The 27548-nt window shown below is 33.7% G+C and overlaps 1 long non-coding RNA gene across 2 annotated transcripts in view; it reads right to left on the reverse strand.

The window, feature by feature from the left end:
- Nucleotides 1–27124, reverse strand: part of LOC105374827 (uncharacterized) — a 42559-nt gene extending 15435 nt beyond the window's left edge. The window contains exon 1 of one of the 2 annotated variants that reach the window (XR_940291.2): nt 860–943. This is a non-coding gene — a long non-coding RNA (uncharacterized LOC105374827). Of the gene's footprint in view, nt 1–859; nt 944–26964 lie in introns of those variants that run through there. The other variant, XR_940292.2, reaches the window with a different exon arrangement.
- Nucleotides 27125–27548: the final 424 nt, after the last annotated feature.

Raw genomic sequence — 27548 nt, forward strand, 5'->3', positions numbered from 1 at the left:
CCCACATTGTCTTTAGTTATCTTAAATTACTTGATTAAAGAGATATAAGCTAATTCTAATGGTTGGCATTAGCTGTATCTAGTATCTTACAGAAAAAAACCACAAAATTCCTGGACTAAAATCAGACAAATCAAGAGGTATAATGTGTAGCATTAAAATAGCTAAGGAAATACAGACTTTCATTATAATTAGCTTCTGATGGTGGGTTTTCTACAAAATCTTCCACTTTTCTAATAAGATAACCTTAAAGACCCAGGACAAAAGACCAGTTTTTAAAACTAAAAAGAATAAAAGACTGACAGAAAAATATTACTATCTATGAGACATTTTTTTCTAAGATAAGAATGAATTTGGATTAAGAAAAATCTACCTTGTTCAAAAACTAAGACCAGTTTTCAATGTGGCAAAAACATAAGGAAGCCTTTTGCAAATATCTAATTTAGTGGTCTTATGTGGATTTCACATGTTATTGTATCTAGCAAAAGGGAGAAATCTAAGAGTGGAAAATATTGCCTGAAGACGAAATTCATAATTATTGAATAAAAAACCCAATTAAAAGAAAATTGAAAGCTAAATAAAAAAGCAAAACAAAAATCACATTACTAGTTTGAATAAACCTCCCAGAACCGAGAGAAAAAATAAGAAAGAGATTAATATGAAGTACAAAAGCTTATGTGCTAAGAATGATATCAGCTAAAATAGTAAAGTAGGTAACTCCAAGCACAAGCAAAAACTGCCACAATCCACTTTGTCAGAACTCAGGAAAATAGGAAAAGATCTAAAATAACCAACTGAACACTGAATCAAGAAAAAGATAATTTAAAAATAGTAGAAATATTTCATGGTCTTTTTTACTTACCCTTGTCCTATCCCCTTCCCGCCTTGGTGGTTGTCTTCAAGATTGCCGCTTACATTCTCATTGTGGAACTCAGGTTCCCTATTTCTAAGGAAGCAGAAAAGATCTTACTTTTAAAGAATTGTTTTAGTCTGTTCTAACCTTTCTAAGGCCTGCCTGAAAGACTGAGGCAACATGTACTACCTTTGTTTAGCAAATTATGGAAATTACTCCTGGCAGAAAAGTGGAAGGCATTTCTTGACAACATTGTAAGGCAAACACCCAACCCACAACTACCTGGGGAAAAAGATTACAACTGAGACAAACAATAGAAAGCCTAAAACTTAAAAGGAAATACTAGGAATATACTCTTTGAGAAATCAGAGCATTCAGAAGGGCTCATGTATACCAGGGAATTTAGAAACTGACATGCATGCCCAAGGCAGAATTCATGCTTAGAAAAGTCCCAAGAAGACCTCAAGCTTGCATCTCTGGGTGATCCTGATTCCAAGCCTCAGTGTAAGCAGGACGGACAGTCTAAGAGTCATACATGGCTGAGTTGAAGGAGTGCTTTACCACAATGGCAATGTGTGAAGAATTGGAAGGTTACTTCCCTCCCCTTCCTTCTCCTTCTCTTCTTCCTCCCTCCCTCCCTCTCTCGCAATCCCTCTGTAAAATATGAGCAGAGCATAAGCTAAAGAAAAAGAAGGATGGGCACGGTGGCTCACGCCTATAATTCCAGCACTTTGGGGAGCCGAGGTGGGCAGATTGCCTGGGCTCAGTAGTTCACGATCAGCCTGGGCAACATGGTGAAACCCCGTCTCTACTAAAATACAAAAAATTAGCCAGGCGTGGCCATGTGCGCCTGTAGTCCCAGCTACTTGAGAGGCTGAGGCAGGATAATTGCTTGAATCTGGGAGGCGGAGGTTGCAGTGAGCCAAGATCGTGCCACTGCACTCCAGCCTGGGTGACAAGGTGAGACTCCATCTAAAAAAAAAAGAAAAAAAAAAAAGAGACTGCAGATACCACACTTGACAACGAAAAGAGACTTCACAAAAATAATTTGGAACTCTCACTAAATAACAAAGTTATAGTCCACAGCAAACAATAAAAACAAACCTTGAAGAGGGAGAAGAATCTGATTTCCATAGTTACTACATTATATGTAAAAAATGTCCAGTTTTCAGCAAAAATTGCAAAGCGTACAAATAAAAAACTATGACACAAAGAAGAAATTATCAGAAACCGAGGAAGCCCTGACATTGGATTTACTAGAAAAAATTAAGTATCTCAAAGAGTTAAAGAAAACTAAGAGAATAATATCTGAACAAATAGAGAATATCAATAAAGAGATTAAAATTGTGAAAAAGAACCAATCAAAATCTGGAGCTTAACAATACAATAACAGAAGTGGCAAACTCACTAGAAGGTTCCAGTGGCAGATTTGAGTGGGCTGAAGAAAGAATCAGTGAACTTGAATACAAGTCAATTAAAGTTATCTAATCTGAGGAGTAGAGAGACATAAAAATGAAGAAAAATGAAACTTGTATGACACCATTAGCATACCAATATATACATCATAGAAATCCAAGAAGAAATATAGAGAGATAAAGGGGCAGAAAGAATATTTAAAGAAAGAATGCCTGAAAACTGTGAATTTGATAAAAGACATGAATCTATACCTTTAAGAAGTACATTCAACTCCAAGAAGGAAGAACTCAAAGAGATCCACAAGGAAACATATTATAATAAAATTGTTGGAAGGAAAAGCAAAAGAGTGAATTTTGAAAACAAAAAATAAGTGACTCATAATATAAAATGGATCTTCAATAATATTAGCAGCAATATTCTCATTAGAAACCTGGAGGCTAGAAGGGAGTGGGATGGTGTATAGTTCATTTTTACACTGCTATAAGGAACTACCTGAGATTGGGTAATTTATGAAGAAAAGAAGATCAATTTACTCAGTTCTGCAGGTGAAGCATGACTGGGAGGCTTCAAGAAACTTACATTCATGGTGGAAGTTGAAGGGGAAACGAGGACCTTCGCATGGTGGCAGGAGAGAGAGATCAAGAGGGGAATTGCCACACACATTTAAACCATCAGATCTCATGAGATCTCACTATCATGAGAACAGCAAGGGGGAAATCCACCCCCCATGATCCAGTAACCTTCTACCAGGCCCCTCCTCCAATTCAACATGACATTTAGGTAGGGACACAAATCCATACCATATTGGATGGCATTTTTAAAGTGCTAAGTGAAAAAAAAGCGTCAACCAAGAATTCTTTATTCAACAAAACTAAGCTTGTTTCAAAAATGAATGAGAACATAAGACATTCCCAGATAAACAAAATGTTGTTGCTAATAGAACTATCCTACAAGAAATAATAATGATGGTCTTTCAAGCTGAAATAAGATGTCACTTGACAGTAATTGGAAGGCATATAAAAAAACTAAACAACCCTCATAAACATAACAATGTAGGTAAATGTAAATGCCAGTGCTATTGTATTTTTGGTCTGTAACTCCTCTTTCTATTGTCTATATAATAAAAGATAAATTTATAAAATGATAATTCTGTCTACGTCAATGGGTATATAGTATAAAGTTGTAATTTATGACAATAACAAGGTAAAGGAAAGTGACAGAGCTGTAGGTTAGCAAAGTTTTTGTATGCTATTGAAGCTTAGTTGGTATAAATTCAAACTAGAGTTTTATAAATTTAGAATGTTAATTGTAGTCATCCTGATAATCACTAAGAATATGGCTAATATATATGTGTATATATATGTATATATGTATACGTATTATATATGTATAATATGTATATATGTATATATTATGTATATGTTATATATGTAATATATGTATGTATATATTATATATCATATATAATATATAATGTGTATATATGTATATATGTATGTATACATGTATATACTATGTATATATTGTATATATTATATATGTATATATACATATACATATATAATATATACATATATTATATACAATATATACATGTATATTATATACGATATATACATATATATTATATACAATATATACATAGTATATAAATGTATACATACATACATATATACATATTATATATGTATATATGTATACATAAATGTATATATAATATATATACATATATAAATGTATACATACGTACATATACGTATATGTATATGCATATATGTATATATGTGCATACATATATATGTATATACATATATGTACATATGTACATATACGTATATATGTACATATGTACATATACGTATATATGTACATATGTACATATACGTATATATGTACATATGTACATATACGTATATATGTACATATGTACATATATACATATATATGCATATACATATATATGCACATATATACATATATGTGCATATGTACACACATATATGCACACATACACATATATGTACACACATGCATGCACACATACACATATATGTACACACATGCATGCACACATACGTATATATGTACATACATGTATGTGCACATACGTATATATGTACATACATGTATGTGCACATACGTATATATGTACATACATGTATGTGCACATACGTATATATGTACATGCATGTATGTGCATATACGTATATATGTATATGCATGTATGTGCACACGTATCTACATATATGTACATATATACGTATATATGTATCTACATATATGTACATATATACGTATATATGTATCTACATATATGTACATATATACGTATATATGTATCTACATATATGTACATATATACGTATATATGTATCTACATATATGTACATATATACGTATATATGTATCTGCATATATGTACATATATACGTATATATGTATCTGCATATATGTACATATATACGTATATATGTATCTGCATATATGTACATATATACGTATATATTAGCCATATTCTTAGTGTTTATCAGGATGACTACAATTAACATTCTAAATTTATAAAAATCTACTTTTAATTTATACCAACTAAGCTTCAATAGCATACAAAAATTTTGCTAACCTACAGCTCTGTCACTTTCCTTTACCTTGTTATTGTCATAAATTACAACTTTATACTATATACCCATTAACGTATATAACATATATATATTATATATACATACAAAGGATGACATTATATGTTAATAAAAAAGTCAATTCATCAAGAAGATATAACAATTTTAAATACATAAGCAACAAACAACAGAGTCCTAAGATATATGAAGCAAACATTGTCAACATTCAAGGGAGGAATAGATAATTGTATAGTAATAGTTGGAGACTTCAATGTCTTATTTTTCATAATGAGAAAAAAATCTAGACAGAAGTTTAAGAAGAAAACATAAGATTTGAACAACTCTATATAACAACTAGACCTAACAAATATATAGAATACTCCACCCCACAATAGCAGGAGATATGTTATTTGCAAGTCACATGAAACATTTTCCAGGACAGATCATATTTTGTGCCACAAAAAGTCTCAACGAATTTAAAAAGATTGAAATAATAAAAAGTATCTCCGCGCCACTGCACTCCAGCCTGGGCGACAGAGCAAGACTCCATCTCAAAAAAAAAAAAAAAAAAGATCTTATCTGGCTACAATGGAATAAAACTAGAAATCAATAGCAGAAAGAAAAATGTAAAATGTACCAATACATGGCAAGGAAACAACAAATTCTTAACTAGCCAATGAGCCAAAGAAGAAATCACATGTGGAATTTGAAATACTTTGAGACAAATAAAAATAAAAACAACATAGAAGAACTATAGAATGCAGAGAAGGCAGTGCTGAAAGCAAATGTATAGCTATAAATACTTACATTATAAAAGAAGAAAGATCTGAAATCAAAAACCAAACTTTATACTTAAGGATCAAGAAAAATAAAGGAAAACTAAGCCCAAAGCTAACAAAAGGAAGGAAATAATAAAAATTAGACCGGAAGTTAATTAAATATGAAAACAATAGAGAAAATTAATAAACCCAATGTTTTACTCCTTAAAAAAAGACAAAATTGACAAATCTTTAGCTATAATGACTAAGAAAAAAACAGAGAAGACACAAGTAACTAAAATCAGAAATAATAGTGAAGACATTACTGTTGATCTTATAGAATTAAAAGAGATTATAAGATAATGTTCTGAATGATTGTATGCCAACAAATTAGATAAATGATGAAATAAACTGCAGGGAGTATTCAAATTGCATAAAATGATCCTAGAAGATCTTAGACCTATATTAAGTAAATAATTGAACCAGTAATCAAAAACTTCCAACAGAGGAAAGTTGAGGACCAGAGAGTTTGATTGGTGAATTGTAACAAACATTTAAAAAGTAATTAACACCAAATTTTCTCAATCATTTCCAAAATATAGGAGTTGAAAGCACTTTCCAATCATTTTATGAGGCCTGTATTACCGATACCAAAGCTAGGCAAAGACTATTCATTATAAATATAGATTTATCCTAGGAATGCAAGAGTAGTTCAAAATAAGAAAATAATCAATTATAAGACCTCATATTTATAAAATGAAGGAAAAATCCACATGATGATCTCTATTGGCGAAAGAAAAGCATTTGACAAAATTCAGCACGCTTTCATGATTAACACACTGAGAGAACAAGAATAAAACACATCTTCTTTAATGTGAAAAAAGGTATTGATGAAAAACCTGCAGCTACCATGATAACCAATGGTGAAAGACCGAAAGCTATACTGCTAAATTGAGGAACAGGGTAAATACGCACATTTTTATGAGTGCTGTTCAATATTGTCCTGGAAATTCTAGCCAGAACAATTAACTAAAAAAAAGAAATAAAGAATTGAAAAGTAAGAAGTAAAACTCTCTCTATTTGAAGATGACATGATTGTATATATACAACATTTCTGACTTTCCACAAAAAGCTACTATAGATAATAAACATTCAGTATGTTGTAGTGTACAAGATCTATATGCAAAAACCAGTTGTTTCTATATACCAGCAACGAACAATGCTGTAAGAAAATTATGAATAGAATTCCATTTACAATAGCATTCAAAGAATAAAACAACTAGAAACAAAAAAGCACAGGAAAGTGAAAGACTTGTTCACTGAAAACTACAAAATAGTGCGGAAAGAAATTAAAGAAAAGCTAAGTAAATGCAAAGACATCTCATGTTCATGCATTGGAGGAGTTAATATTGTTAAGATGCCATTACTAACCAAAGTGATCTACAGATACAATTCAACTCATATCAAAATTCCAATGACCCTTTTTGCAGAAATGAAAAAGCATATCCTCAAGTTCATGTGGAAATACAAAGGCCCCTAAATATGTAAAACAATGTTTTAAAAGAATTACAAACTCATGCTTCCTGATTTCAAAACTTACTACAATGCTACAGTAACCAAAATAGTGCAGTAGTGGCATAGAGTAGACATATAAACTAATGGAATGGAATTAAGAGTCGACACGCAAAACCATACGAATATGGTCAATTGATTTTGAACAAGAAGGCCAAGACGATTCAGTAAGAGTGCCAAGACTCTTTAACAACTGGCACTGGGACAATTGCATATTTACCTGCAAAAGAATACGGTTTTACTTTTACCTTACAACAAATACAAATATGAAATAAAAATAGGTCCATGACTTAAAGAGCTAAAACCACAGATCCCCTAAAAGAAAATGTAAGAGTAAATCTCAATACACTCGAATTTGGAAATGGACTTTTGGTATAATGCCAAAAGTATGAGCAAAAAAATATTATATGTATATATTATATATATATTATATATATACATGCACAAGCACACGTATACATATATATGTATGTGTATGTGTGTATATATATATGACTTCATCAAAATTAAAATTTTGTGCATTAGGGAAACCATCAAGACAGTAAAAAGAGTATGCACAGAATGGGGAAAAATATTTGAAGGTTGTGTTTCTGACAATGGTCTGCCATCCAGAATATATAAAAAATACCTACAAGTCAACAACAAAAAGACAAGCAGCCCAATTTTAAAAATGGGTAAAAAACTTGAATACACATTTCTCTAAAAATATACAAATGGCCAGTGGCACATGAAAAGATGGTCAACATTATTTGTCACTAAGGAAAAGCAAATCAAAACCACCATGCAATGCCTCTTCTCATTCCCAAGGATTGCTACAGTAATAATATAGATTTTATAAAAAAAGGGGGAATAACAAGTACAATTGGTTCTCCAAATCTATGAGCACCAGAGGACTGGATTCAATTAACTTCACATCAAAAATATTTGGAAAAAAAATTCTACAAAATTCTGAAAAGCAAAACTTTCATTTGCTCTGCATCAAGCACTATGTTGAGTCCACGCAATTAAAGTGCTGTGTAGGCATTCTATTCAGTGCTATAAATAATCTAGGGATGATATAAATATATGAGAAAATGTGCATAGTTTACATGTAAATGTGGTGCCATTTTATATAAAAGACTAGTGGATCCCCAGAGTTTGGTATCTGGGCATGGGGTCGTGGGGGAAAGAGAATGGGGGTAGGTCCTGGAACCAATCCTTCACAGATATCAAGAAATTATTTTATTACCAAGGATGTAGAGAACCATTAACATTGCTCATGGGAACGAAAAATGGTGCTGCCACTGAGGAAAATATTTTGGGGGTTCCTCAAAAAGTTAAACATAGAATTATCATATGACCCAGCATTTCTACTTTTAGGTATATGCCCCCTGAAATTAAAAACAGGCACTCAAATACTTACTTGTACCTGAATATTCTTGGCAGCACTATTCATAATAACCAAAAGATGAAAGTAACCCAAATGGCCATTAAGAGATGAGTGGAGAGAAAATTTATGTTATATACATATGATAAAATATTCTTCAGCTGCAAAAAGGGAATAACGTTATTGATACATGCTACAACTTAGAGGAACCAAAAAAAAAAAATCCAAGTGAAAAGAAAACAGAGACAAAAGGGGATATGTTCTATGATTCCATTTGTATAAAATATTCAGGATATATAAATCCATCGATACAGAATGCGGATTCATAGTGTCAGAGGCTGGGGGAATGAGGGAATGATGAGTAGCTGCGTAAAGGGTTTGAGATTTCTTTTGGGGGTGACAAAACTATTTTGGGATGAGACGAACATGGCAGTTGCACAGCATTTTAAATATACTAAATGCCATTGACTTTTCACTCTAAAATGTTTAATATTATATTATAAGTAATTCACCTTAACGATGTGGTAGACAAACTAATGTAACTTAACATATGTATGTGTGTGTGTGTGTATATATATTTTTTAAAGAAAAAAGAAGGACAATATAGTTATTAAACTAAATATACATATATATACACATTTCAAAAGGAAAGGAGAAAAGGGAATCAAACTAATAATAAAAATTAATATTCCCTTCACTAATAGGCCCACTCATGCCAACATTAACTTATGCATATTCTTTTTAAATTCTGAAATACGAAGTGAAAGAGTGAAATTATAAAGGCACTCAAGAATTTCAGGTCTAATTAAGTAACATTCATTTGTGAATGCAAAATAATTTATTTCTTTTCTTCTTGTTTTCTTTCTGTGTTTTCCTTCCTTCCTTTTTCCCATGCCTTCCGTATCCTTTCCCTTCCCTTCTTGCTTGCTTTCTTCCTTTTCCTTCCTTCTTTCCTTCCTTCCTTCCTTCCTGTCTCTCTGTCTCTGTCTCTCTCTCTCTCTCTCTGTTACCACTTATATTTAAGGGCAAACTAATATCTCTCTTCCTTGCTCTCTCTCTCTCTCTAAGGTATTATTTATATGTGGAAGCAAATATTTCTTTTTTTCTTTCTCTTTTTGAGAATATATCCACCTGCTTCCTGGGGGGCGATAGGTAGGGAAGAGGATCCTTTCTTACCACAGACCTCCTTCTGCTGCAATAGCTGGTTCCCCAAATAACAACCCTTCCTTTCACTCCTCATTACCCTTCTTTTTTTTCAAGTACAATGACTTATATTAATACCTTTGTGAATGAGCTTCTCTTGTCTGGAAAGTTCTATCCTTGTTTTTATGTGCCCTTCCTCTGTTTTATCCAAGTCTTTGCCCACATTTCTTATCCAGGAAGTTTGACCATTCTGTATAAAATAGTACTCTTTTTTTTTTCTGTATTTCCTTACCTTGTTAAATTTTTCTTCTTAGCACTTATTACCATCTGATACATGAGGTTATTTTTAATTGTCTCTCCCTACTGAATGTACCTTTGTTAGGAGGGATTTTGTTTGGTTTGCTATTGTATTCTTCTGCTTAACTTATAAAACATGGTAAATATGTATTTTATTGAACCAATGAATTTATTGAACACAGGAGTAAACCAACAAGTGTCTCTTGAGTAACTCTTATTTTCAAGACACTCAACCACACATAGTTGAAATTATTTCAGGAAAAGGAATTCTAAGCAAAGAAAGGAAATGATAATGTAGTTTTGGAATCAATGAGTTTTACCTGGCTAGAGAAAAATACTCATTCTGGTACGTCTTGTGAAATGAAGCATTAAATAATTTGTAGGAGCCAAATCATAAAACATTTAATGTTAGACTAAGAAATGCCTGGTATCTCGTTGGCAGTAGGGAGAAGGAAGAAAATTGAACGACACAGGAGGGATTCTAACATTAAGGGTTAGGATTCCCTGGAAATGTATGTGCTAAAATTTAGCAGTAGGATACAAGATTCACAGGCCTGGTCAGCAATAAAGGCTGAAAATATGATGGATGAGAACTTAGATACCCGGTCAGAAAGGAGGCTGACTGTTGGTAGAACACTTTGGATATGATTATAACTGAAATGATGGTGCTCTTCAGTTCAGAGATTGTGGGAACTGGGAGAAGAGTTGCATTAGAGAATCAAGCTGTTATAAGCTAGAAGTCAAGGCAGAGAAAACAGCGCAGTCAGCAGTAGATAAGCAAGTATGTGGCAACACAACCAAAGTATCCTGAGATTGAACTATTGAGTATCACAGAAAACCTGATACCATCAGTGTAATCATGTTACGGCAATGAAAGAAAACATAAGTTAAAGAAGAAATGGGGAAATAAAGCCCTAAAAATATAAGACCAGATAGACTGAAAAATGCCCTGATTAGGGAGCACTTGAGGTGCCATTAGCTGTGGACTTTTAGAGCCAGCTAGAGAATATTGCGTGCTAGAATCTGACATAAATTCTGTTCAAAGAGCCTGTTGTATGGGATTTAAGGGAGACTTTTTCTTGATTACGTATGGAAATTGAAGTATGGAGTCACTGTATACCTTGTATGAGTGTTAATTTTTTTTTTTATTGTAACAGTCCTAAATGCCCATGAAAACCTGAATTTAAGAAGTGGTCGGTAATACATCAGGAAAATTGATAATGTCTAAATAGGAAAAATAAGACCAAACTCAAGTATGGAATTTTTACACTTTTGTCTTTAAACTTGTAGAAAAAAAAGAATTTACTGTGGATATTTAGCTTTCTAGAAGGTGTGTATATAAAATGCGCCTTAAAAGGAGGATATCAAAAGTCGTCCTGACACCTAAATATTGCCCCAAATGTTTGTACATTTATCAAGAAGAGTAACCCTTGGTTCAGACTAGCCCTCTAAGAAGGTTGCAATTAAAATGCACTCATTATCATTCTGAGTTCAGTTTTAATAGGAAATATTGAAAAATGCATCAATTCTTTATCTCTTTGGATTGTGAAATTTGGGAAGAACATATTTTTCCATGATTGTTAAGATCATTATGGAACTAGACTACAGAAGAGAATAATCAAAAATAAAAAGAAATGGTTGGAAAAATATAACTAAGAAAAACAAATTTACATACAAACATGTCCTCATGTGGTCACTATTACATCACTCTGCTTTGATTCTCTGTATAATACTAATTACTAGCTTATATATATGTTTATAGATCTATTTTTTATTTGTTCTTTGTGTACCCCACTAGATAACTTCTTTGTTTTTTATTGTATATATAAGTTTATATGATCTTGGAGAATTTAGGAAGCATAATGTTTAAAAATTAGAACGTAGACTGGGCTCGGTGGCACGTGGCTGTAGTCTCAGCTACTCAGAAGGCTGAGGTAGGAGAATTGCTTGAGCCCAGAAGTTCAAGTTCAGCCAGGGCAACATAATAACATAATGGAACATTGAATATATTTAACAATATGGCCTAATGTTTCAAGAAATTTCTCATTCCTCTTTAAGGCTAGAGTCTCTGACCATGGCCCTGGTTTATTGAAATCAAGTAGCTTAGGGAATCAATAGTCCCTTAGAATATGATTTTCTCCCTCTCAATATTTTATTATTTCCCCTTTCTGCCTAACCCATCTTTTTTGGAATAGTCTTCTCTCCCTCATGCTAGAAAAATCATTCATTCATTTGTTCTATCTGTCTGTTGATATTCACACATTGATTTATTTTTCTGTGTATGTGATTTCCTCAGTCAAGAACTAAAATCAGTTATAATCTCCTCAGTCAAGAATTAAAATCAGTTATAATCCTTGGCTCATGACACATTATCATTATGGACATTTTATATATATTCAGGTACTCAGTTATTATTAATTATTAGAACCCACTACCCCAAACAAAAGCTTGAAATTGTATAATACTCTATATTTATTTCATTATGTAATAATCCTTTAGTAACTTGTCCTCCAGGATCCACCTCCATCTAAGGGAATGATCACCCAAATCCCATGTTCATCTTGCCATTATGTTTCTTTGTATGTGTTTCTTATTGCATAACAAGTGCCCTTAAAAATTTTTTTTGTAATTTAGTTTTTTAACTTTGCAAAAAACAGGTAATATGTAATCTTTTGAGACTTATCTTTTTGTATTATGTAGCTAATATTTATCCATATTGTCATGTGTGCCTATAGTTTATTTTAAATGTTATATACTAATTTCATTGTGTGAATACAGCAGAGCTCATTCATTCACTTCACCTTTTGTTGATGAGTATTTTATTATTTATATCTTTAAAAATTATTATTATAAACTGTACTGTTATGAACATTCTTGTGCATATCACATATCGTATCTGACATTTAGTTATTCATGTTATGCATATTTGTTGGGTACCTACTAAGAATAGGCATCATACAATATGCTGGAGGAAGAATGGAGATGAGAAGAAAGTAAATTGTCATGAAATTTGCAATAAAGAGAGTGTTCTCTCTGACCATAAATGTTAGGTGACACAATAAGCTTGTTCTCTTAAGAAAATTTGATTAAAACATTCTTCTTGTGTTACATGAAAATAAAAGAAAAGATAGAAAGAGAAAGAGAGGAAGGAAGAAAGGAGGAAAGGAAGGAAGGATGGACTGAGGGTGGCGGCAACATTGAACTTAAAGAACCGAGCTAAAATGAATTGTCCTTAGCAATTACTTTCCATTTTTCTTTAGTTGTAGAAATTTTTGTGAGTGGGTTTTCTTATTAATCTCATAACATATTATATAAGCAGTCAGACTATGACCTTGTAAAGCTCATCAATCTTCTTTAAGACTGAAAAAGATTTAGTGCAGGTATTTTTTTTTCAAGCCATGTTGTAGATTTAAAAATTTTTATTACAAGCTGTTAGCAAATCAGTGGACAGTTAGGCACACTGATCCAAACTGATAAACTAGAAGGAGTGCTGCTGTCCCTATGGAATTTCTTTCAAGTAATAGGAAAAACTTGCTGAGAACACTTAAATCATCAAAGACAGATTAGGTAGATGAATATGTGACTTATACTTTTTTCCAATATATAAGAAGACCATTTCCTGATAAACTTATCATTTCAAATGCTGCCAACCGAAACCTTAACTGTTCTTTGTTCTTCTGTTGGAGAGAAATGGAAAGAGAACTGAGTGGAATGAGGGTATGTGTAGGAAGCTGCAGTAAGTCTTTTAAGGATCCTCCTAGGAAGACCCATAGCTTGCCCAAGGAATGAGTCTGACTCTCTCTGAATGCTTGTGTAATTTATCCAGGCAGAGCAGATCAGTGATTCTTCTCTAATCCTGTAAGGCTTGTAATAGCCTTCTCTCCCTCATATTACAAAACCCATTCATACTTTTGTTCTGTCTGTCCATTATTATTCATACACTGATTTATTTTTCTGTATGACATTGTCCATCTAGCTATATCTACATCTATCAATGTCTATTTATATCATCTATCTGTATATCATATCACGTCATATATATCACATATCTTGCATTCTCATGTGTTAGTGATCCTGGCTGGACTAAGAGTTTCTCAAGAGCAAAACTCATGACTTGACCATATTTTTATTTATTTCACTACTTTACACTATTCAAATGCCTACTTTATGTCTGACATTGGCCTACATTTTAGTATATAAAGCTTGTATGTTTGGCTTTGTTGTAGTTAGAATTCCATTTCCTACATTTTTAATCACATATTTCCTCCTCTTGTAGTTGGGCCCTCACTGCCTCATCTGATCAAAACTTGCTTGATGACAGCCCTACTCAGACCAAAGTTAAGGAAAAACATTACTGGGAGGCATAAAGTCTTATTTTGCCAATATAAGATGATTTAAACCTTGATAGAGCTGGTGATTTCAGAGAATGAAGACTGCAAATCACTGACTAAAACCTCTCAAACAAATATTTCAGAGAACATGTTTGGGAAGAATGCTCTAAGGGAAAAAAGAAAAATAAATTCACTTCTAACACTCATGGAACACTTTCATGTTTACAAAGCATTTGTTGAGTCCCATGTTATATATAGATGCTCTTTGACTTATGGTGGGGTTATGTCCCAATAAACTCATCAAAAGTTGAAAATATCATAAGCTAAAAATGCATTTAATACATCTTACCTACAGAACATCATAGCCAAGCCTACCGTAAATGTGCTTAGAAAACTTACCTTAGCCTGTTACAGTTGGGCAACCATCTGGCAATGCAGTACACGGTAGCACACAGGTTGTTTACAGTAGTGATCACATGCTGACTGGGAGCTGTGGCTAGCAGCCTCTGTCCAGCATCACTAGAGAGTATGGTACAGTAAATCACAAGCCCAGGAAAAAATCAAAATTCAAAATGTGAATTATGGTTTGTACTAAATGTGTATTGCTTTCACACCATCGTAAAATCAAAAAAATCTTAAATCAGTGTAAGTCAGGACAATCTGTAGTTCTTTGAGGCAAGAGGAGGGAAACATTCCCATTCTAGAAAGGAAAAATTTAGTTTTATATTTGGCAAAATGCTATCTTGGCTAGAATGTAAGTCTACCCGTTTGAATTCCAAGACAGCTTCTAAGGCACAACTTTGTACTTAGTGTCGATTGTGTTGAACTTTTCCCTTCCCCAGGAGAATTATCTCCTTAAGCGTAAGTTCAGCATGCTGGGATAATCACAGAGTGAGACAGATGCAGAAAGAACTGTGTTCTGTTTTGTACAATCTACTTCTTATCTATGTGAAAGAGAGTTTGGATTTAAGAATCATACAAAATGCTGAGCAGATAAAACACGTTGGGACATCTGAGGAAAGACTCTGGACAGGTGAATTCAAGTTATTCTGTGGCTCTTATAATAGCAATTTATTATGAACTATTATAGTACCAAGAAAGTATTTGATTGCAAAAGCTATATTTTAAAACAACTGAGGGTAGAACGAGCCGAAGAACATCAAAACAGAGTTAGCTCAAGAGAGTCAAGAAACATTTTACTCATTTTTTTTCCCCAGAAGATAGGCTTTGAACCTAGTTCCGCCTGTGCTTTTTTCAAGATTATGGTCAGACACAACTGAAAGGGATTGGGGAGAACCTTAAGGCCAAACCCACTGATTCAAAAAGTAAGACACTAGGGCCAAGGGAGGATAGCTTGATATTTACAGTAACTTAGCATTGTTGTCTTAAAGGCCTTTTGTGAATGTTTAACTACCACACACAGGCACACGCACAAACATGTGGAAAACAACACATAGGGATCGGTCACATGTGGTATCCTACAGTGTCAAAATGCATTTATGCAGACTTCTAAGGATAGATTCCCTCTCATACTATACTGACTTGGCTGATTCTAAACATTCTACGATTAGGTCATTTTGATGCTTCCAGGTTCTCATCAGATATAACAATAGAATGTTGTGTTATTTTAGATTGGAAGAGTCTTCATCCAAATTGGAAAAATGATAAAAGGATGCTTTCTACAAAACATTACCAAAAGAAAGAAAAAACAGCCAACTGTGCAATACTAAAGATATTACTCTGCCCTGGAGTCTATTGGCCCTGACATTCCTCAGAAAAGCATAAGGATCTCTTGGGTACAATCCTGTTCTCTATTCTTTTAATATGAAACAAAGAGATGTATTTGTTATAAGGCAGTGTTTTAAATTTCTATTTATTGTTTACATATTTTTCAATCAGCAGAAACTTTTTATCAAACAGTTTTTGCTTCAATGAAAGCCCAATATGTATGACAGAAAAAAGTACAGCTCGTTGGGTTGAAGCTGAGAGAGGGCAAGCATCAAACCCCACCTTCTTGTCCCCTTATCCATTCATGACAGTCTCAAGAGTGGATCTTTTACTGCGATGGTACTCAAAGTGCAATTCCCAGATGAGCCGCATTACTGTCATCTGGACACTTCTTGGAAAAGCTAGACCTGCTAATCAGAAACTCTTGGGGTTAGATCCAACGCTCTGGGTTTGTATAAGCCCTCCAGATAATTCTGATGCATATTTGGGTTTGAGAAACTCTGTTTGATGATTCAAAACTTGGTTACCACTGGTGTAGCAAGTATAATCGAATCCTGGACTAAGAGGCAGAGGATATAAAATATAATTATGGATCAATTAATCTATAATATGAACTTGAGAAAGTCATTGAATCTCTTTAGGCCTCTGTTTTTGTGTACTATTAAGTTGGTGCTAGCTTTCATATCTTCCTAATGGATAGTGTGAGAATAGTAAAAACTTTGAAAATTTAAAAGTATTTTACATGCAAGAAATGTCAAATACATCAATGTTGTAGAAGAGAGCAACTAGAAATAGACTCATCTTTATATAGGAATTGCATATCATTAGTGTGATTTATTCAAATTGATGTATTGGGGCATGCATTTAAAGGTAAAATTCATAATTTTAAATACATAATTCAAAAAATGAACACAATAAAAATTCTAGGGTTCTTAAATATTTAACCATTAAGAATACTTAGTTTTACTCAGTGTACTTCAAATATTTATTGAGTAAATTCAATGTACCAAGACAGAACAAAGTTAATATTTATTGATTATTTGTATGCCTAAATGCATACATTATTTGTTTAATCCTCACTACCAATCTATTTGTTAATTGTAATTATTATTTATGTTAGACAGATATGGAAATTGAGGCTTACATAGGTTTTATAATGTGCCCAAAGATATGTAACTATTGAGTGGTGAACACCAGGTTAAAATAAGTCTAATTTTATGCAAGTTTTTTTTTTATAACTGCTCTGTTTATAAAATTATAGAGCCTAATTTGAGGAAAAAGACCTTTTAAGATTTTCTTTTTTTTTTTTTTTTTTTTTTTTTTTTGAGACGGAGTCTCGCTCTGTCGCCCAGGCTGGAGTGCAGTGGCGGGATCTCGGCTCACTGCAAGCTCCGCCTCCCGGGTTCACGCCATTCTCCTGCCTCAGCCTCCCAAGTAGCTGGGACTACAGGCGCCCGCCACTACGCCCGGCTAATTTTTTTTGTATTTTTAGTAGAGACGGGGTTTCACCGTTTTAGCCGGGATGGTCTCGATCTCCTGACCTCGTGATCCGCCCGCCTCGGCCTCCCAAAGTGCTGGGATTACAGGCGTGAGCCACCGCGCCCGGCCGACCTTTTAAGATTTTCAAATTTCTAATTATTGAACTGATTGACCTTGAACTTGGCAAATTTAAAAATATGAGAAAACTACTAAAAATTGTTTTTATATAATTACAGTAGAGAGAAGGTCTTTATAAATAAAAACCAAAACCCAAACACCAAGAAAAGACACATTGGTAATGTAAACATTCCAATTTTAATACACTGAATGATATCTTAAGCAAAGAAGAGACTGCAAGGAAAAAAGTCTATTTGTAAGTATTTCACATATAGGAAGGACTAAGATTTATAACACATAGGAACTTCTGTAAATGAATAAGAAAAAATGTTGAACAACTTAATAGTAACATTAGCAAACTTACAGAAAGGAAATTAACAGTAGAAATGTAAATCTTTAATAACTATATAAAATGAGGTTTGTTCTCATGATCTAAGGGATTCCTATGAAAACAATAATGCTAAAAATTAACAAAAATTAGACATTACATATATTCAATATTGTTTAGGGCATTAGAAAACAGATCCTTTCATATATTATTTCTAAGAATGTAAATTTGAATAGATGTTTCGGATAGAAAATGAAAGTAGACATTTGTCAGTAACTGTGAAACTATAAGTTAACATATTATTTGAGCCATAAATTGCCTTTTGTAGACATATTCTAATGGAAGTGTTGCATAGGCCTTCACAGACGTATTTTCAAGGAGTTTATTTGTAGCCATGATTGTAGAAGCAACATCTAGGAAAAAATTCCCTTAGTTACTAAATTATTAAAATATTATTTTATCTCACATTATTAAAAATTATATAGTCATCACAACAGGTTGATATGAATCTAACATAGAAAGATACCCATATTAAACCAGAACCACTAAATCAAGTCAAAAACATTGGCAAATGATATGAGTTTATTGACCTCATTCAAAACATTTTTACATACTTACATGCACATGAAATTCATATACATTCAAAGAAAGAGAAATATAAATCATGTTGTATGTGCATTTGTTTTTGACATCAGGCGAATAAATTTTAATACTGTCCATTCTTCTTTCAGATAAAACTAGAAGGAGGGATACCTGTGTAAGATTTTGATTATGTTTCAGAAAATACATCATGTTGAACTAGCTGTGAATAATTAAAGCTTCTAAGGTGGAGGTATGGTATGAGTTGTTCTCTGTTTGGTAAAGCACCTAATGAATTATATTTATCCTCTCATCATGCACAAAAGCAGCTCTTGTCAAGGCCAGTGATAATTTTCCACTGAAAAAAATGGTGGATGGATTTTTGGAGTTATCCTATTTATTAGTAAATTTTAAGTGGTTGCTTGCACTGTAGGTTTTTCTCTATTATGGTAAAGCTTCAGTGAAAGTCTTATTCATAAAACTCCCTTGTATCAGTAGCACTTAGAAAAGTGTAGAGTGGTTCACACCCTGTAATCCCAGCTACTTGGGAGGCTGAGGCGGGAGGACCACTTGAGTCCAGACTGAGGCTGCAGTGAGCCATGGTCACACCACTGCACTCCAGCATAGGCAACAGAGTGAGACCATATTTCAAAAGAAAAAAAAGAAGAAAATAAATAAAAAGCATGGTACTAGTACAAGAACAGACTCATAGACTAATGGAACAGAATAGAGAGCCCAGAAATAAGACCACACACCTACAGCTATCTGATCTTTGACAAACCTGACAAAAACAAGCAATGGGGAAAGGATACCCCATTCAGTAAATTGTTCTGGGATAACTTGCTAGCAATATGCAGAAAATTGAAACTGTACCCCGTCTTTACACCGTATACAACAACCAACTCAAGATGGATTAAAGACTTAAATGTATAACCCCAAACTATAAAAACCTTAGAAGACAACCAAGGCAATATCATTCAGGACATAGGCATGGGCAAAGATTTTACAACAAAGACACCAAAAGCAATTGCAACCAAAACAAAAATTGACAAATGAGATCTAATTAAACTAAACGGCTTCTGCCCAGGAAAAGAAACTATCAACAGAGTAAACAGACAACCTGCAGAATGGGAAAACATTTTTTCAAACTATGCATCTGACAAAGGTCTAGTATCCAGCGTCTATAAGGAATTTAAAGAAATATACAAGAAAAAAAGCAAACAACCCCATTAAAAAGTGGGCAAAGGACATGACAGATGCTTTTCAAAAGGAGACATACATGGGGCCAAAAAGCATATAAAAATCTCAACATTACTAATCATTAGAAAAATGTAAATGAAAACCACAGTGAGATACCATCTCACAGCGGTCAGAATGGCTATTACTAAAAAGTTAAAAAGTAACAGACGCTGGCGAGGTTATGGAGAAAAAGGAATGCTTTTACATTGTTTCTCGGAGTGTAAATTAGTTCAACCATTGTGGAAGACAGTGTGGCAATTCATCAAAGACCTAAAGTCAGAAATACCATTTGACCCAGCAATCCCATTACGGGGTATGTACCCAAAGGTTCTATTATAAAGACACATGCATGCATATGTTCACTGAAGCACTACTCACAATGGCAAAAACATGGAATCAATCCAAATGTCCATCAATAATAGACTGGTTAAAGAAAATCTGGTATGTATGCACTATGGAATACTATGGGGCCATAAAAAATAATGAGATCATGTCTTTTGTGGGGATGTGAATGGACTGGAGGCCATTATCCTTAGCAAAGTAACTTTGGAGCAGAAAACCAAATACTGCATGTTCTCACTTATACATGGGAGCTAAATGTGAGAACACATGCACAGTTAGAGGGGAACAACACATACTGGGGCCTACTGGAGGGTGGATCATGGGAGGAGGAAAAGAATCGGGAAAAATAGCCAATGGATACTACGCTTAATACCTGGGTGATGAAATAATTTGTACAACAAACGACCATGACACATGTTTACCTGTGTAACAAACTTGCACATCCTGCACATGTACCCCTGAATTTAAAATAAAAGTTAAAAAAAGAAAGAAGACTGAAAAGACTTTTTTTATGATATTGATAACAGTACTATTTATAATACCAATAAATTAAAATTATTTAAATTCCTAGCAAAAATGTAATATTATTATACCTCTAGTTGAATAAATATTTATACCAAAAAATAGAAAAAGGAAATAAATAAAAATCAAGTCTGTAATGGAAAAATCACCCCAGAAAAGGAGCAATAATCAGTTAGGCAATACTACACAATTCTAAGTTGTGCTGTTTATTTACAACTTGATATGTGCTGGAGAAAGAAATTCATTCCTAAGATGGAGAATTCATTAGAAGAAGAAAACTGGAGCAAGAGGTAACTAGAAGAAATGTAAAGACTTTATAATTCTCAGACGTATTTGGGAAAATCTTTACATGCATTTCACACTGAGCCTATTTTACCTCAACAATTAAAATCATAAAAATTAAAAACAGGATTATGAATATAAGTATAAAATATTACTCAAAATTCCCTATTGTTCTGCACTCTTGTGCCCCTGCTGGTATATCATTAATGAATGTTCTCACATAACGTACCTAATCAGCCCTGCTTTGTTGCTCGGGACAGAGAAGGGCCCTGGCCCTGGTTAATATATGAACTGTTCTCTCTACAACACTCTTAATACCTTGATTCCCTTTGGGGTTATCCACAAAATTGCAGCTCTGTGCCAGCAACCCCACCACTTCTCTGGTCCTTCACTGAGTATCCAAGTACTTCTGGGGGAAAGCATCAAACCAAGCAGATCTGTGTCATTAGAAATTCATAATCCTTGAAGTAGGTTCAAAAGTCCCCTATCCAACTTTTCCATATCTCACTCTCAGATGACCATGATGCCTACTGTATGGGCAAGAGAAGAGTTTTTTATAAATGATCTAACCAATTTTCAGTAGTTCCACCTATTAACTCCTTCTGTCTCTTTTCCTTTTTTTTCAATGTAATAAAAATATCTCCACGCTGTGCCTAGAACCCCATTTTATTTACTTCTGTTTTTTTTTAAATTTATACAGTCCAAGTATTTGAACACCTCTTTATATTTCTTTTCAATCCTATTCCCTCTCCTTTATTCTCAAAGTCAACAACTACGTGTTTGAACCTATAAAGTCTACATTAATTCCTTTTAAAATGAATATCATTCTCTTTTGCGTGTTAAGGCTGTAACTTTTGTATTGTTCCCCTCTCTTTTGTATCTCTTGCCACCCCTTGCCCCTGGTTATTTCCATTAGCATATAACATCCATCTTAAGAAGAATTCAAAATTCATATTTCCTGCAGCTACTTCCACAATTTTCTATTCCCATTTATAATACTCTGTGAAAGAACAGAAAGAAAACTGCTATGTGCACTTCTTTTTGTGCCTTTCTCAATCTGTTTCCCTACCCCTCTACAGAAATTGGTGTTGTCCAAGACACCAATCAGGTGCACAATGTCAAATTAAGCATTCATTGTCTGTACTTCATAATACTTGACCTACTAGCATTAGATTTTGCTGCTCATTCTCTTCTTGAAACAGTTTATATGGATTCTGGAACACCACACATTTCTAGTTTGATGTATATTACATTGAATTTTCTATGTAGATAGATGATTGTGGTGCCTGAAAATAATCACCATTTTATCTTTTCCCTCCTAAACCTCATACCTCATCTTTTCTCTTGAATTATTATTTTTTATTTTTTTTATTTTTTTGAGATGGAGTCTCGCTCTGTCACCTAGGCTGGGGTGCAGTGGTGTGATCTCAGCTCACTGAAAGCTCTGTCTCCTGGGTTCACGCCATTCTCCTGTCTCAGCCGCCCAAGTAGCTGGGACTACAGGTGCCCACCACCACACCTGGCTAATTTTTTGTATTTTTAGTAGAGACAGGGTTTCACCATGTTAGCGAGGATGGTCTCGATCTCCTGACCTTGTGATCCACCTGCCTTGGCCTCCCAAAGTGCTGGGATTACAGGTATGAGCCACCGTGCTCACCCCCTTGAATTATTGTAATATAAAGGAAATATGAAATCCGATGGTGATAACAAAAATCCCAAGCCTTGTTTCTGACATACAGCACATGTACCACTTCTCATTAATTTTTTTGTCATGGGGTATGTGGCATTTATCAAGTTAAGGAACTTTGGTTACATTTGTGGTTTTGGGAAGTTTGAAAATATAAAGAAAAGATGAACTTCAGAAAATAAATTTCATGAATCTGTTAAGACCATGATAACATTTATTTCTTTATTTTTTTTTTCTGAAACAACTTGTATAAGATTGAGATTATATGTATTGCTTGAGCATTTGCTAGAATCCACCCATAAAATTACTAGGCCTAGGGTAGATAATGCATTCCGACATTATTTTCTTTACTGCTTATTGTTTTTTTCTTGAGTCACTTTCTGTTCTCTTTAGAGAAAAAATTCCTTATGTAAGTGTCCCACCATGACCCAAAGGCAGAGACAAAGAAGTCTTTTGTCACGGTATTTTTGTTGCATTTTGTTTCTGTTCTCCTCATTCAGACTTTCACTGAAATTATAGCCTTCTGAGAGTTCCAATTTGATGCAGGTTTCTTAATTTGCCCCCCATCCTTTCTTGTTTTTGGCTCTAGGACTTGTCACCTGCCTCCTGTGGTGACCATTCTAGGTCTGCACTGCTGTTAGTAGGACAGTAGTTCTGGCTTTAGTTACGCTAACCACTCTGGATTCCAGTCCCAGCTTCATTTTTCATCTCCATGGATTCTTTTTGACTTGCCTTCCAGCTCAGCCATGCAAGTGAAATTATGTTGCTATATATGAATTTCTGATTTGTCCAAGAGCTAATCTGTCAGATTATACAATGCAGAAGTTCTGTTTACTATTACTTTTCTAAAAATACTTTTTATAATAATTTCAAGTATGTAGCTAAGAAAGCAGTGACATCCTTCCAGCATCCTATTTATTTTTGTTTAAAATTTTTTCTTTAAATAGTAAAATATATTGTAAAGAGTATATGAAATATGTAACTACATTTTAAAGAAAAACCAATAAAGAGAATACCTGTGTAGCCATCACCTAGACTAATAAACATGTATCACTTTCACCCCAGAAGTCCCTCTGTGCCTGTCAACAATCATAGCCTCATCCAAACCCCTCCATCAGATGGTCACTCTTCTGGCTCTTAAGTTAATAATTCCCTGAAGTTTCATTATAGTTTTACCACTTGTTTGTGTATCCCTAAACAATATATGTTAATTTTGCCTGGCTTTTAAATTTATGCAAGTGTTATTTAGCTGTACTTCTTCTTTATTTATTTTGTTGAACACTATCAAGATGTTTAATCTCATACCAATATGTGCAAGTGTGATTCATATATTGTATATTTCATTTTATCGGTTATTTATTGAAAATTATAAGGATTGTTTATATATACAAACATTTATATATTGTATATATAAATACATATAATGCAATAAAAACACTAATATAAACTATCTAAACTTATCTTCTGGTACAAGACTTGTCTGAGGTAATGAGATTTTTTTTTTTAACCTTTAATTTTACATTCAGTAATACATGTGCAGATTTGTTATATAGGTACAGTGCATGCAACAGAATTGATAGACAAATTATTCCATCGCCCAGAAAATCATCATAGTACCCTATAGGTAGTTTTTGGATGCTCTCCCTCCTCCCACCCTCCACTTTCAGATAGGCTCTGGTGTCTGCTGCTCCCTTTTTGTGCCCATATGTACTCAACATTTATCGCCCACTGAAAAATAGAACATGTGATATTTGGTTTTATGTTCCTGTATTAGTAGTTTTCTTAGGGTAATGTCCTCCAGCTTCAACCATGTTGCTGTGAAGGACATTATCTCATTCCTTTTTACGGTTGTATAGTATTCCATGGTGTATATTTACTATATTTTCATTATCCAGACCACCGCTGTTGGGTATTTATGTGGCTTCCATGTCTTTGTTATTGTGAATAGTGCTGTGATGAATATACATGTGCATGTGTCTTTATGGTACAACAATTATATTCCTTTGGGTATATACCTAATAATTGGATTATTGAGTCAAATGGCAATTCTGTTTTAAGTTCTTTGAGAAACCACCAAACTGCTTTCCACAATGGCTGAAATAATTTACATTCCCAACAGCAGTGTATGTGTTCCTTTTCTCCACAACCTCATCAGCATCTGTTATTTTTTGACTTTTTAGTAATAGCCGTTCAGACTGGGATGAGACGGTATCTCATTGTGATTTTGATTTTCATTTCTCTAATGATTAGTGATGTTGAGCATTTTTTCATATTCTTGTTCAAAACTCAAATCTAATTCCAAATTGTTTCTCTCTTAAATTAGAGATTTCTTATTTATTCTATGAGTCGGTGGTCTTACTATTCACATGGTCACCTAAAAGAGGCCACGTATGTGTCCTCTTTTGAAAAGTGTTTGTTTGTGTCCTTTGTCCTTTTCAGTGCAATAGCTGAATCATAGAGTGTGTACATGTTTAACTTTGCTAAAAAGCATCAAAATATTTCTAAAAGGGTTTCACCAACTTTTACTCCTAAGAGTAAATAAGATATTTTAATTGGCTAACTATTCATGGCGATATTTAATTTTATCATTTTTTTTGTCAATCTGGTGTATGTGAAATACTATATTATTTTGGATTTATTTTTGTATTTCCTTACATGCTAATTACATGTGAATCCTTTCATATATTTATCTGCCATTCATCTTTTCTCTTCTGTAATTGCATGCTCACATTTTCCCCCTAGTTTTTCCCTTTTGAGTCATTAAGCTTTTGTTGTTGTTGATAATTTTATATATACCATATATTAAATGCTTATTTACTGAATGTGCCTCAGATATCTTTTCCCAGAGTGTCACCTGTCTTTTCACTTTCATTATGGTCTCCCTGAATAAAAAAAAAATCTTAAATTTAATATTTTTGAATTTATTTTGCATTATGTTCTGTGTTTTTTAGAGATCTGGTCATTTCACTGTTTAAACATAGATTAAAACTATAATGCCATGGTAAGGCACTAACTGTCACATTAATTACAGTTTTTTACTTCCTCTGTAAATGAAACTCTTTGCAAATTTGTTATCTTTGTTTATTTCTTTTTTATAAACGTGTGACTGCCTTTGCTTCAGTGACAACTTCTTGGTTTTCCTTTGTCTTCTAAGTGAGATAGTATTCTACCGCACACCATTTAAAAGTTATTTTGGTCCATTGTCTGTCTTTACTCTATTGTTCTCACTCTCTAGATTATTTCTCAGGTAACTTCTCACACTCTCATGATTTCACTTACTACCTCTCAACAAGCCATCTCCTGCGGGTCCTTGGACTCATATATCGAACTTCAGCTAGACATGTACACTTAGATATCACACAGAAAACTCAAATCTAATTCCAAATTGTTTCTTTCTTAAATTAGAGCTTTCTTATTTATTCTATGAGTTGGTGGTCTTACTATTCACATGGTCACCTAAACTAACAACTTAAGTGCCATCCTTACTACCTTCTTTTCCATACTGCAACATCTTATTTACTGAGCCCTATTTTTCTTCTTTAAGCATTCCTCAACTCTACCTTTTTCTTTTTATGCACATTGTCAAACTTCTTGTTCCTCCTCACCTCATGTAGAAGTAATTAATGTTTTTTGACAGACCTTGTAATTCTGAAACTGACCTTAAGCACAACTACCAGTGAACCATCCAAAATGAAAGGTATTAGAGTTTTATGACATCAATAAACACTATCTTTTTTCTTCCCTCCCTGAACAAATCAATTAGAGATCAAAATGTTACATTTATTATAGAAAAGCAGACAGTAGAAAGTGTCTTCAAATCTAGAGTAAGAGACAGGTCAACACTCCGTTAAATTTGACAGACAGCTGCAATCAGTCAGGAGCACAGCTGATCAATCAGGTCTCCCGCATAGTGTCATAGGTTGCCACTCTAAGCCATCCACTCAGTGAAGGAGCAGACCAGAAGGCACTCTCAGAAGGAAGGCATACCCAAGAGATAGCCTATAAGAGGGTGATCATTTTCCTTCTAACTCCTCAATTAGATAATTCCATTTATACTCAGTGGGAAGCAGGGAGTAGGAGGTGGGGAAAGAGGCAGGGGATGTTTATTTAAGGGAAATCCTAGATCAAAGGAAATCACTTATCCTATAATAAAATCTCCCAAACATTTTAATTGCCATCCATCTCTTACAGGCTATTATCTAAGCTTCTCAACATGGCATAATAGAGAACATCTTTTTTCCTTTACCCACATCCTCTATCCTCCACCATCTTGCCATATTCTCCCTTGCACTTCTATATCTAGCAGCACTTACTTGTTCATTGTTTCCAATATTACTTGTTCTGTGTCTTGATTTTATACTTTGGGGCATCTTAACTCTCTCTCCTAGAGTGTTTCTGAGTTTATCATCAGATATCAGTTATCTATTTCACTCCTATGTATTCTTTAAGTATAAGCTTGAGCTTCATTTTTTTTTTCAGAGAACCTTTTGTATCTTCCATTCCAACTGCTTTAACTGACACTCCCTTTTGCGTCTATAATACTGTGTTCCATTTTCTATGATAAAAAAGTTTTTGTGTTATAGTGATCTATTTATGTGTGTCTCCAACACTAGGATGTGAGCTTTTCAGTGTGGATATCCTCAGACACTAAACACATTGCATGGATTCAAAATGTTTGATAAGTGAATCTTACTTTCCCTTAAACTTTTGACCTGCTTGTCTAATCTTAGTTATGTTTTCCCCTTGGATTTGACAACATGTTTGGCTTCTTAGCTTTGATTTCTTTCATTTTTTTAGACATGAGTTCATTCTTAACCTTTCTTGGTCTCAGCCAACTCCCACTAGATCAACCTTGTCCTTCAGGGCCCCATCAGAAGTCCACCTGCATTTAGCCTGC

Source organism: Homo sapiens, chromosome 2, assembly GCF_000001405.40.
Source record: "Homo sapiens chromosome 2, GRCh38.p14 Primary Assembly".
Lineage (NCBI taxonomy): Eukaryota > Metazoa > Chordata > Mammalia > Primates > Hominidae > Homo > Homo sapiens.